The following is a 14536-nucleotide window of genomic DNA, read 5'->3' on the forward strand; positions in this document are numbered from 1 at the left end:
TTTTCTCTAGAGTATTTAGATATCTGGTGTGTAACTTCTATCCTGGAATGTAACAAAAAAACCCAAGGTTGACAATACTCCAGCTTAGTTCTGGATTCTTAAAACTTCCAGGAGAGGAAGGCTGGGGGTGCATGAAGTCATGCAGGAGCTTTTTGTGGAAAAGCAATTTATTGGGAACTCAACAAACTGGGCTAAGTCATGTCAGCCAGTTGACAGAAGAATAAAAGGCTCAAGGTTTTAAAATTTTCAGAAACGGTCTCACCAGAGTGTTAAAGAAAAATTGATGTTACTATAGTATGAGGAACTCACACACCCCCATCACATCATGGCTGAATCTCCTTTAGGCCTAATTTATCTTTTTGTTTTATGAGTTATAATCTTTCTTGAGGCTCTTTTAAGGAACACAGGTCTTTGATTTTTAATAATACTGGTAAAATATATAATGGTAATAATTATTACCTACTGCTCACTTATTCTGTGCCACGTATTAAGGAACAGACACAGATGAACTGAGACAATTCTTTCAGAAAGGATTGTAGGTAATTACCATTATTATGGTAATGAGGAGACTGAGACATATTAAAGAACTGACTTTCCAAGGTCACAGCCATATGGGAAGAAAGGGAATGAATAATCTAGTGATGTCAATAAGCCATTTAGTAAATTGAGAATCTGCTGGGTCTCATAACATATTGGGGACCCTAAACTCACTTTTATTATTTTACAAGTTAGCTGTATAGAGGTATACTTTATGCAAAGTAGACAAATTTTTAGTATATTTTGATGGGTTCTAAAAACTTATACAGCTCTGTAAAGATCACCAACATTTATATATGGAACATTCCATCATAATAAAAAAATTCCCTTATTCCTCTAACCAGTGTATCCTCACACCCCGCTGCCCCCAGCCTTAGGCAATGAATGGTCCACTTTCTTTCTATCCCTCTAGACTTGATGTCTTTCGTAGAACTTTATATAAATAGGATATAATACAGCTCTACCCTCTTGTGCCTGGCTTCTTTTGCTCCGCACAATCTGAAGATTTATCAATGTTGCTGCATGCATTTGCAGTTTCTTCCTTGTACAGCTGTATTGCATTATATGGTAATATTACTGTTTACATATTTTTCTGCTGATAAATAACCCAATTATTTACAATTTGGGGTTAGTATGAGTAAAGATTCTATGAACATTTGCATATAATTCTTTGTCTTTCTCTGGGGTAAATGCCTAGAATGAAAATTGCTGGTTGTAGGTAAGGTACTGTTATCTTTATAAGGAACTATGAAATGGATTTGTATTGCTATCACACGAACATGCACTTTCTTGCTGACCAAAGCTTTGGACATTGTTTCTAGTATTTATTGGCTAACTATATATCTTTAGTGAAATATCTATTTTAATGTTTTCCTTTTTTTTTGGTCCATTATAACTGCATTTTCTGTACTATAAACATTGTTTTTTTTTCCTTTAAGAGACAGAAAGTCTTGCTCGGTCACCCAGGATGGAGTACAGTGGCATGATCACAGCTCACCACAGCCTCAAATTCCTGGGCACAAGCAATCCTCCCACCTCAGCCTCCCAAGTAGCTAGGACTAGGACTACAGGCATGTGCCACTATGCTTGGTTAATTTTATTTTTTGTAGAGATAGGCTCTTGTTATGTTGTGCAGGATGGTCCTGAACTCCTGGCTTCAAGCAATCCTCCTGCCTTGGCCTCCCAAAGTGCTGGGATTACACAGGTGAGCCACCATATCCGGTCAGTTTCTTTTGTTTTCTATCATAAATTTTGTACTTTTAGCGATTTTGTTTGGATCTGTGATTTATTTTGAGTAAGTTTTAAATCATGTTGTAAAGATCAAGTTGCATTTACAATATACAAGTATCATTATTGATACAGTTTGCCTGTGTCCCCACCTAAAATCTCATCTTGAATTGTAATCCCCATAATCCCCACGTGTTAGAGGTAGGACCAGCTGGAGGTAAATGGATCATGGGGGATAGTTTTCCCCATGCTGTTCTTGTGATAGCAACTGAGTCTCATGAGATCTGATGGTTTTATAGCATCTGGCATTTGCCCTGCTGCACTCACTCCGCTGCCCTGTAAAAAAGATGCCTGCTTCTTTGCCTTCTGCCATGATCATAAGTTTCCTGAGGCCTCCCCAGCCATGCAGAACTGAGAGTCAATTAAACCTCTTTCCTTTACAAATTACCCAGTCTTGGGGATTTCTTCACACCAGTGAGAGAATGGAGTAATACAATTATCTCAGCATCATTTTTTTTTTTTTTTTTTTGAGACGGAGTCTTGCTCTGTCACCCAGGCTGGAGTGCAGTGGCGTGATCTTGGCTCACTGCAAGCTCTCCCTCCTGGGTTCACGCCATTCTCTTGCCTCTGCCTCCTGAGCAGCTGGGACTACAGGCGCCCGCCACCACACCTGGCTAATTTTTTGTATTTTTAGTAGAGATGGGTTTTCACCGTGTTAGCCAGGATGGTCTTGATCTCCTGACCTTGTGATCCGCCTGCCTCGGCCTCCGAAAGTGCTGGGATGACAGGCGTGAGCCACTGCGCCCAGCGGCATCATTTTTGAAAACAATCATCATTTTCCCATCAAATTACCCTGGAACATTTGTCAAAAAACAACTGATGATGTTCAGTTACAACTCAGAGAAATAGCAGGCAAGAGCACTGCTTCTATTCATAAAACAAGAAAATAGTTGGGAAGACTTTAACTTTTCTTCAATGCACCAAATATCTGAAGCCACAGGGCAAAAAGCTATCTGGAAAACTAGGTGGTTGTAGAGAGAAACAAAGATCCAAGCAGTTTTTTAACTGAGAGAAAGAATGCCAAATGCCATATAAAGTGACTCCAGTGGGAAAACTAGACAACATGCAGTATCAGGTAGGTAACTGTGGCAGAGAGATAAAAACTATAATAAAATTACAATGCTAAAAATGAAAAACACAGTACCATAAATGAAGAATGCCTTCCAAAGGTCCATTATTATACTCAACACTGCTAGGAAAGAATCAGTGATGTTGAAGATATATATATATATATTTGCTTGTGTATTTGTGTGTGAGAGACACACATAGAAAAAAAGAGAGAGAGAAATATATTGGTTGACACTGGCTTCTTTGAAAAAAGGCAGTTTAGTAACAATGGCCTTTACTAGACAGACATGTTAGAAGGCAGCAGGAGAAAGGGAATGTGGTATCAGATATTTTCTGTAAAAGGTTTGTTATTAATATTCATGTGGCAAATTGTAGCTGATGTCAAAGTAGTTATAAAGCAAGGGGAACACAATTCTTTTACAGCAATGTTGAGGTCTAAGAAACATAAAACAAATACCTGGTAAGTACCATGCATATATACATACATAAACAATCAATAACTCACAAAACATTCACATATTTGCAACACTGCTTTTCAGTTTATGCAGTTTATTTTTTGTTCTTTTTAAGCTTTTTATTATAGTGAATGTCTTATATTTCATTAAAAGTTTTGATATTATATGTGAAACAACAGTTCTGATAAAGCAATATCTAGATAAAGGCTATTACTTACCTTTCTCAAATTGATAGATTTTCTCCTTGTAACAAGCTCTGATATAAAATATGATAATTTGTTGAAAACTTTTACACATTCAAAACTAAATTATCATATATTTAATGAGACTTTGGGTGTGTATGTGTGAGTGTGTGTCTGTGTGTGTGAAGAATTTCCTATATTTGTTAAAATGTCAGATTTCTTATGATATTACCTGTCTGATGAGGAAGACTTTGGGGATAAAAGCCATGGTCATTCAGGATGCTGTCCGAGATTTGTCCTATGTGACTTTTCTGACATACACTGAGTTCAGATGTCCTGAAAAATCATACTCCTAAGTTTTATTATGTGAGGGTTGTTGAGTTTCTGTCAGTATCAAGTATACCCAAACCTTTAGAAGTTCAGCAGGGAACACATTTATTTCCTCACTGCAAGAAGTCCAACTGTGTACAGGGAGGAGAAAACTCCATGCCACAGGATCCTTCTCTGACCCGGGTTCCTACCATCTTGTACTTTCCATCATCAGAGCCTGAGTCCCAAGGTTTTCCTCCATTCCATTCTAATGAGGGATAGAAGAAAATATTGAGAATTTGACTGATGTATTTAAGACCTGTCACTGACCCCATATTCCACTAGCTAGAGGGTAACAATATGACCCCGTTTAGATGAGAGAGTGGTTGAGAAATTTAGGCCAGGTGTGGCATGAGGGAGAAGTGAAAATGATTACTAGTGAACATTTCAATAGTTATTATACGACATATAGGGATTACCTCTGTGTAGGTTAAAATGAGGGTTGACATGGCAGAAGAATTTCCCACATCCATTAACTTCATTTCTTGTTTGTTTTAATATACTATGAGGTCTCTATCTTGAATGTATTTTCTGCTGTACTGACTTTTCATTAAAGTTTATCACACACTTATTATATTCTAGCTTTTGTCATTGTGTGATTTCTCTGATGGTGAATGAGTTTTGATTGTTGGCACAAAGTTTTCACATTTTTATTACTTTCTCAGAGCTTTTCTGCAGCGTGAGTTTTCTGAGGAGTGAGTTCGCAAGAGTATTTTCCATATTCATTATGTTTATAGGGTTTCTTTGCTGTGTGAGTTCTGTATATCCATAGAAGACTGGGCTCTGGCTGAAAGAATGCCCATATAAAATAGATTTCAACAATTTATCTTCTATTCTTTGATATTTGGTGGAGGCTGAAATTGTAGAGGAAATTCCAGTGCTCACTATGTTAACAGTTCTCTCCTGTGTGTTCATTTATGTATTGTGAGGTTTGATTTCCAGCTCAGAGTTTTTTCGTATTCTTTATATGCATACATTTAATCCCCTGGGTGGGCTTTCTGATGTTCTCTAAGGCTTGATTTTTGACTGAAAGTTCTCCCACATTTATCACATTTATAGGGTTTCTCCCCTGTGTGAGTTCTCTGATGTACTCTGAGATTGGATTTCTGACTGAAAGCTTCCCCACACTGATTACAATTATATGGTTTCTCCCCGGTGTGAGTTCGCTGATGTTTTCTTAGGACTGACTTCTCACTGAAAGCTTTTCCACATTCATTACATTCATAGGGCTTCTCCCCAGTGTGAGTTCTCTGATGCCCTCTGAGATTTGATTTCTGCCTGAATGTTTTTCCACACTCCTCACATTGATAGGGTTTCTCCCCAGTATGAGTTCTGTGATGTACTCTGAGGTTTGATTTCTGACTGAAAGCTTCCCCACAATGATTACATTTATAGGGTTTTTCCCCTGTGTGAATTCTATGATGTCCTCTGAGTTGTGATTTCTGACCGAAAGCTTTTCCACACTGATTACATTTGTAGGGCTTCTCCCCTGTGTGTGTTCTATGATGTTTCCTCAGGCCTGACTTCAGTTTGAAAGCTTTCCCACATTCATCACATTTATATGGTCTTTCCCCTGTGTGAGTTCTTCGGTGATTCCTTAGGCCTGACATATGGCTGAAAGATTTCCCGCATTCATTACATTCAAAAGGTTTCTCCCCTGTGTGAGTTCTCTGATGCACTATGAGGATTGACTTATAGTTAAAAGATTTCCCACATTCATGACATTCGAATGGTTTCTCCCCTGTGTGGGTTCTCTGGTGTATTCTTAGGCCTGACTTTGCACTGAAAGCTTTATCACATCCATCACATTTGTATGGTTTCTCTCCCGTGTGAGTTCTCTGATGTTTTCTTAGGCGTGACTTCTCACTGAAGGCTTTCCCGCACTCAGGACATTCATAGGGTTTCTCCCCTGTGTGACTTTTCTGAGGCCAAATCAAGTGTGAATTCATAGAGCAGGATTTCCCACATTCATTATACTCATAGGGTTTTGCCCTTATGTGAACCTTCTGATGTACACTGAAAGTTGACTGGTAGCTGAATGTCTCTGTACATGGGTGATAATCAGAGTATTTATCTGTTGCATGAGTTCTCTGATGCACTGGGAGGGTTGAATTACGGTTGAAACTTTTTCCATATTCAAAGGGTTTCACCCCTATATGAACTCTATGATGTTCTCTAATGTGTGACTTTTGGCTGAAGGATTTCCCTCCTGTGAGAGTTTTGTGAGTGATTCTACAGAAACAATTTCCAGTATCATTAAACTCATAGTGACTCTTCTCTGGATTCATGTTCTGAGGAATAATAAAGGTTGATTTATCATATTTGTTTTCCCCAAATTTATTGAAATTGTAAGATTTTCCTTTTGGGTGGGTACTGTTAGATGTAACAAGGGCAGCCTTTTCAAGAAAAGCTTTTCTACTTTCATTATATTCAAAATCTTGCCCCAGAGTCTGAATTGTCTGATGTTGAATAACTTCCTCCTTATGATGGAGGGTTTTCACAATTTTACTATAAGCGAAAGATTTCTCTTGAGTGTTAGTTCTGCCATCCTTAATACTGATGAGCCATTTGTCACAAACATTACGCTCATGAGCCTTTTCTTTTGAATACTGACAGTGTGGGGCCATCAGGCTGAGCCCCTGGCAAGCAGACCCCGCAATGTCACATTTACAAGGCATCATTCTTGCACGAAAAATGTTTATGTCTCGATTATGTGGTTTTCCTGAAATTTCTTGCTCTGTAGTCAATAATTTATTGGTGAATAAAACTTGCAACAAATGTTTGCCTTGATTTTCTGGGCTCTTCTCTGAGATTTCATCAGGTTGGGAGTCTTCTAAAAATGATAAAATTAAACAAACTTTATGATATTTAACACATTTCTTATGGAATGGGACATATATGTATATATATGCCCTATTATGTATTTGATTCCTTAGTTTCTGGCTCAGTTTCTCAACAATAAAGTAATTTCAAGTACATATTCCCCATATTCCCTTTTTAGCTTAAATTTTTTTTTGTAGTAGAAAAAGAAATGGGAAATGAATATATATACATATTTGGCATCTTAAAATAGAATTTTCAAAACTGAATAGAGAAGAGGATATAAATCAACAAAATGACTGAGAATGGTGTATACGTAAGAGCATTGGATCCTGGGAACAGGAAAATCAGAGAATGGGATGAATAAAAAAAGATTACCAACATGAAGTAGATAACAACAACAAAAATCAATGGATTAGTGGTTTTATCTGAGACAGGGTTTGCCGTAGGGAGTAACGCTAGTCTAGATTCTTATACAAATATAAATTACAATGGTAGGATAATCATTAGCCTGCAATAGTTCAGTTGGAGCTCCATTTCCATTCTACACATCACAAAAGAAATTTATAATGACACCAATTTCCTCATGTTAAAAGAAATACTACTATAGACAACATTTTAATTCTGTCTGCATTATCATCAAAGGAACACACATGTGTAAGTGGAAATGTAAAATTGATGGGAGTTAAAGTCATTTTTCCACCTAGACTGGATTCACTGCTCTGCCCTAGCTCTGGTGACTTGGTTTATTATGTCAGGGTTGTTCAATAGTGAATCTTTTTTTTTTTTTTTTCTTTTTTTTGAGATAGAGTCTTGCTCTGTCGCCCAGGCTGGAGTATAGTGGCGTGATCTTGGCTCACTGCAACTTCTGCCTCCTGGGTTCAAGTGATTCTCCTGTCTCAGCCTCCCGAGTAGCTGGGATTACAGGCATGTGCCACCATGCCCGGCTAATTTTTGTATTTTTAGTAGATACAGGGTTTTGCCATGTTGGCCAGGCTGGTCTCGAACTCCTGATCTCAGGTGATCCACCTGTCTTGGCCTCCCAAAGTGCTAGGATTACAGGCATGAGCCACCACATCCGGCCAATAGTGAATCTTTTTAGATCATCAAATCTTAACTTTTGTCTTTTCAGTTTGCTCACTCATTTCCCTAAAACCAGCTTTGTCTTTGTCCAATCCTTAATTCTGCTTTCAATCTACTTTTTAACATTGCTAGTTTTTATTGACTATGTGAACCTTACGGATCATATATTTTAACCTGGACTTAGAAACTTTACACATATCCTTTATATTTATTTATCATAGATTTCCTGTGTATATTTGACTGCTATTGCCCTACTGCTACCCGCATTCCATGCAAAAATGTCAGCCTTGTGCTAAAAATATTCCAAGGCCTTAAATATACTGCCTTAGTGCCCTAACAGATATTCAGGAAAAGAAGGTTTTACACTAACTGTAGGCTCATTACATGTTGTAGCTCTCACTGCAACAGCCCACAGTCTTTTCTGCTCTAGTCTTGACAGGATATCACCAGTAAATAGTATATTTTCAGCAATAATCTTATATTCTTTCTCTGAATCACTCTGCTTTTTAGCCTTAGACCTATGTAGACTCTAGATGTCCTTCAGGCAATGCAAAGCATTTCCCAAATTACACACACATACAAAAGGCTTCTTGTGTCTTCCCACAAATATAAGGAACATTTATTTAAAATCTGAAAGTAGTTACTGTCTATAGTATTCATTTTAACAAGGAATATATGGATAGTACTCATATATCTGACACTCATGATTTTTTAAGAAAAAATTATCATCATTCAAATTAGGAAGCATTTTAAAACTTACGGCACGTGCATGGTTAAATGGCATTTTCTCTTTCTTAGTTGTACGTCAAATAATAGTTCACTTTTTTTTTTTTTTTTCTTGAGACAGAGTCCTTGATCTGTCACCCAGGCTGGAGTGCAGTGGTGCGATCTCGGCTCACTGCAAGCTTCACCTCCCGGGTTCACACCATTCTCAGCCTCCTGAGTAGCTGGGACTACAGGTGCCCACCACCATACCCGGCTAATTTTTTGTGTTTTTAGTAGAGATGGGGTTTCACCATGTTAGCCAGGATGGTCTCGATCTTCTGACCTCGTGATCTGCCCACCTTAGCCTTCCAAAGTGCTGGGATTACAGGCGTAAGCCACCGCGCCTGGCCAATAGTTCACTTTTTAATCAACAGCATTAATTATTTTATTCAGCTTTGTTCTCCTTTCCAAAATATAACCTTCGTTCTGATATACTTTATATCTCTCTGTAATTTATATGAAGACAGTGACTGTTAAAAAGCAGTGTGCCTCAAAATTACCTCCTCTTTCCTACACAAGTGCTCAGACTCAATGCTAACCTACACCTGATTATTCAAAAGTCTCAGAAATTTGACTGGGGTGTTTGCATTTAGGGATCATGTTTTTTGAATGAATCAATATGAAACACCTCTCCCGAGTGGCTTTGAAGTTAATACACAATATTATTAAAAATACTTACATGTTATATTGCATGGACTCAATATATAGAAGAGTAAAGCAGAGACCATTCTTTTTAGTGGGTTATAATCCAGGTGGGAATGGAGCACATTCATAGCTATGTGCTCTCTGGCACAGTGTTTCATTTTCTTTTAACACATCTATCAAGTAGGTTGTGAGTTTACAAAAAGAAGAGATAAGGCATACACTAAAGTATTTCAAACTATACCACAGAAGTAGGAATTTAAATCAAAACTTTGAGTAATAGTGCTTTCCCCCTTTTTCGAATTGAGACTATTTTATTCAGTTATTTTTATTGCAAGAACCGCTTTTGGCTTTAAAATTTATACTAATATAGTCTTATTTTTATTACATCTTTTGCTTTGCTTAGTTTTCTTTGAAAACTTTTTCACTTTTAAAAACAAGTACATAAGACTAATATAAGACTAAAAGTTTTTCTAAGCACTGCTTTATCTATATCCCAAAGGTTCTAATATGCATGTTTTTTATCTTTGAAATTTTCTGGATATTAGACAATTTTGATTTTCATTTACTCTTTGATTAAATATGTTTTTAAAGATATATATTCCTTATTGAGTTTAAGATAGACTTTAATTCTTCTTACATTGTTTGCAATTTGCAGTTTTACTGGACAATAATATCTTTGTGGATTTATTCATTTTTGCACAAAATACTTTTATATTTTGTCAGGGTCCCATGGTCATTTTAAAAAGGGTTCATTCTGTTTCCAGAGCAGAGTTGTGAAAGACACATCAGATTCATTTTTATAAAATATGTTATTTATAACTTCTAGAGCAGGAGTCAGTAAACTTTTTCTGTAAAAGGCCAGAGAGTAAATGTTTTCCACTGGGCTGATCATGTGGTCTCTGTTGTAACTACTCAATTCTACCTCGTAGCATGAGCACATAAATGAATAGCTATGGCTGTGTTCTAGAAAAATATTTCCTGACCAAAATAGGCAGCAGGTAGAATTTCACCTGTGTCCTCATTTGCTGAGCACTAGTCTAGGAACTCAGTTGTGATCCACTGGCTCTGGTATGAAATCAAAGAGGTAAATTAAAGTCTATGTGACCTAATATGTTTCCATTTTTCCTCAGAACACTTGCAGTTTTTTGTTTTATGACACCTGATGAAAATTTAGTGCACAAATATTCAAAACTCTTAAATATATTTTAAAGTTCTCTACTTTTAAAATATCCTTTTAAAACTGTCTATTTTAGCATTATCAAAATGCCCTTTCTCTTCTCTGTTTTTTGACCTGAATTTAACTTTAGTGTTATTGAGTTTACAAACAGAAGAGATAAAGTATAGGGTAAAGTATTCCAAGATTACGCTATAGAGGTAGGAATTTAAAGCAAATAAACACTGAATTATTTTAGTTTATTGCCTTAGCAATTCATAACCGTATTTTGAACTTCTCAAATTATTTTTAAAATATACCTCTTTAACAAAATCTAATAGCATTTTCTCTTAATAGGTGAATTTAATCCACTTAACATTAGTTGATATGGCAAATATGTTTGTCTTACTCTACGTTATGCCAGGGATCTGCATAGCTTTTGTGTAGATAAGAGTTGATTCATAGACCAATAACAGGAGCTGAAATTGTGGCAATAATCAATAGCTTACCAACCAAAAAGAGTCCAGGACCAGACAGATTCACAGCCGAATTCTACCAGAGATACAAGGAGGAACTGGTACCATTCCTTCTGAAACTATTCCAATCAACAGAAAAAGAGGGAGTCCTCCCTAACTCATTTTATGAGGCCAGCATCATCCTGATACCAAAGCCAGGCAGAGACACAACCAAAAAAGAGAATTTTAGACCAATATCCTTGATGAACATTGATGCAAAAATCCTCAATAAAATACTGGCAAACCGAATCCAGCAGCACATCAAAAAGCTTATCCACCATGATCAAGTGGGCTTCATCCCTGGGATGCAAGGCTGGTTCAATATACGCAAATCAATAAATGTGATCCAGCATATAAACAGAACCAAAGACAAAAACCACATGATTATCTCAATAGATGCAGAAAAGGCCTTTGACAAAATTCAACAACCCTTCATGCTAAAAACTCTCAATAAATTAGGTATTGATGGGACATATCTCAAAATAATAAGAGCTATCTATGACAAACCCACAGCCAATATCATACTGAATGGGCAAAAACTGGAAGCATTCCCTTTGAAAACTGGCACAAGACAAGGATGACCTCTCTCACCACTCCTATTCAACATAGTGTTGGAAGTTCTGGCCAGGGCAATTAGGCAGGAGAAGGAAATAAAGGGTATTCAATTAGGAAAAGAGGAAGTCAAATTGTCCCTGTTTGCAGACGACATGATTGTATATCTAGAAAACCCCATTGTCTCAGCCCAAAATCTCCTTAAGCTGATAAGCAACTTCAGCAAAGTCTCAGGATACAAAATCAATGTACAAAAATCACAAGCATTCTTATACACCAATAACAGACAAACAGAGAGCCAAATCATGAGTGAACTCCCATTCACAACTGCTTCAAAGAGAATAAAATACCTAGGAATCCAACTTACAAGGGATGTGAAGGACCTCTTCAAGGAGAACTACAAACCACTGCTCAAGGAAATAAAAGAGGATACAAACAAATGGAAGAACATTCCATGCTCATGGGTAGGAAGAATCAATATGGTGAAAATGGCCATACTGCCCAAGGTCATTTATAGATTCAATGCCATCCCCATCAAGCTACCAATGACTTTCTTCACAGAATTGGAAAAAACTACTTTAAAGTTCATATGGAACCAAAAAAGAGCCCGCATCGCCAAGTCAATCCTAAGCAAAAAGAACAAAGCTGGAGGCATCACACTACCTGACTTCAAACCATACTACAAGGCTACAGTAACCAAAACAGCATGGTACTGGTACCAAAACAGAGATATAGATCAATGGAACAGAACAGAGCCCTCAGAAATAACGCCGCATATCTACAACTATCTGATCTTTGACAAACCTGAGAAAAACAAGCAATGGGGAAAGGATTCCCTATTTAATAAATGGTGCTGGGAAAACTGGCTAGCCATATGTAGAAAGCTGAAACTGGATCCCTTCCTTACACCTTATACAAAAATCAATTCAAGATGGATTAAAGACTTAAACGTTAGACCTGAAACCATCAAAACCCTAGAAGAAAACCTAGGCATTACCATTCAGGACATAGGCATGGGCAAGGATTTCATGTCTAAAACACCAAAAGCAATGGCAACAAAAGCCAAAATTGACAAATGGGATCTAATTAAACTAAAGAGCTTCTGCACAGCAAAAGAAACTACCATCAGAGTGAACAGACAACCTACAAAATGGGAGAAAATTTTCGCAACCTACTCATCTGACAAAGGGCTAATATCCAGAATCTACAAAGAACTCAAATTTACAAGAAAAAAACAACCCCATCAAAAAGTGGGCAAAGGACATGAACAGACACTTCTCAAAAGAAGACATTTATGCAGCCAAAAGACACATGAAAAAATGCTCACCATCACTGGCCATCAGAGAAATGCAAATCAAAACCACAATGAGATACCATCTCACACCAGTTAGAATGGCAATCATTAAAAAGTCAGGAAACAACAGGTGCTGGAGAGGATGTGGAGAAATAGGAACACTTTTACACTGTTGGTGGGACTGTAAACTAGTTCAACCATTGTGGAAGTCAGTGTGGCAATTCCTCAGGGATCTAGAACTAGAAATACCATTTGAGCCAGCCATCCCATTACTGGGTATATACCCAAAGGACTATAAATCATGCTGTTATAAAGACACATGCACATGTATGTTTATTGTGGCATTATTCACAATAGCAAAGACTTGGAACCAACCCAAATGTCCAACAATGATAGACTGGATTAAGAAAATGTGGCACATATACACCATGGAATACTATGCAGCCATTAAAAATGATGAGTTCATGTCCTTTGTAGGGACATGGATGAAATTGGAAATCATCATTCTCAGTAAACTATCGCAAGAACAAAAAACCAAACACCGCATATTCTCACTCATAGGTGGGAATTGAACAATGAGAACACATGGACACAGGAAGGGGAACATCACACTCTGGGGACTGTTGTGGGGTTGGGGGAGGGGGAAGGGATAGCTTTGGGAGATATACCTAATGCTAGATGATGAGTTAGTGGGTGCAGCGCACCAGCATGGCACATGTATACATATGTACTAACCTGCACATTGTGCACATGTACCCTAAAACTTAAAGTATAATAATAATAAAATAAATAAGTAAATAAATAAATAAATAAAAGAGTTGATTCAGCAGGCCTGAGACTGCTACTCTTAGAAAGGCTTTCTTGTAAGGTTTGCCCTTGGCTGGCATCTAGAAACAAGATTCTCATAACTGCCGAGGGGCTCACCGTGCCAGCCCTGCACAAACAATATGATAGGGAACACCAGTTTTCCATCTCACAGTCTGTAATTTTGGCAGATGCTAGACAGAGGGTGTCTACATGATTAGCCCACAATAAAAACCCTGGGCACCAGTTCTGGGTAGACAACATTTTACATATGTTTTCAAAATTCATTGTTTAGGAAACTGTGCTTGGGGAACTATCTGAACTCTCAGAAGCTTGTAGCTTGTTTCCTACGAACTTTGCCCCATGCACCTTTTATCTCTGCTGATTTTTGTTTGTATTTTTTCAGTGTATAAATTTTAACCATTATTATGACTATACGCTGAGTTGTGTGAGTACTCCTAGTGAATCAGAGAACCTTCTTCTTGTTGAATTCAGTAACTCACCTGGGGAGTTCCTGCTTAGAAATCCTTTCTCTTTCTCTAATAACCATGGATCTTCTCCTTGTTCCAATGTGAAGATCAGTTCTGGTTTTGTAAAGCAGTAGCCTATAAATGGGAAACAATTTAGCATTTGCATTAGTTGCATAGGTTCTACTGTTTCTGAATGTGAAGAAGGTACAGCTTCAGAAGGGGCATATTCAGGGTGCTCACTGGACCTTCCTTGGGGAAGTAACCACAAAAAACATTTTCTTTCTTTTCTTACTTTTTTTTTTAGAGACAGGGTCCCTATGTCACTCAGGCTGAAGTGCAGTGGTGCCACCATGGCTCACTGCAGCCTCAAACTCCTGGGCTCAGGTAATCCTTCTGCCTCAGCCTCCTGAGTAGCTGGGACTACAGGTGTGCACCACCATACCCGGCTAATTTTTTAAAGTTTTTTTGTAAAGATAGAGTCGAATTCCTGGCCTCAAGCAATCGTCTCACCCTGGCCTCCCAAAGTACGGTGGCATA

General features: G+C 37.6%; 1 protein-coding gene across 19 annotated transcripts in view; it reads right to left on the reverse strand.

The window, feature by feature from the left end:
- Positions 1-3116: 3116 nt before the first annotated feature.
- Positions 3117-14536, reverse strand: part of ZNF782 (zinc finger protein 782) — a 117643-nt gene continuing 106223 nt past the window's right edge. For 14 of the 19 annotated variants that reach the window (XM_047422874.1, XM_011518315.3, XM_047422870.1 and 11 more), the window contains 2 exons: positions 14033-14134; positions 3222-6731 (listed from right to left, as the gene is read on the reverse strand). In XM_047422874.1, the coding sequence (XP_047278830.1) occupies positions 4876-6579 (1704 nt within the window). In that variant the 5' untranslated portion in view covers positions 6580-6731; positions 14033-14134 and the 3' untranslated portion in view covers positions 3222-4875. Of the gene's footprint in view, positions 6732-14032; positions 14135-14536 lie in introns of all 19 variants that reach the window. The other 5 variants (XR_007061256.1, XR_007061255.1, XR_007061254.1 and 2 more) reach the window with 1 other exon arrangement.

The sequence above is a fragment of the Homo sapiens genome, chromosome 9, assembly GCF_000001405.40.
Source record: "Homo sapiens chromosome 9, GRCh38.p14 Primary Assembly".
Lineage (NCBI taxonomy): Eukaryota > Metazoa > Chordata > Mammalia > Primates > Hominidae > Homo > Homo sapiens.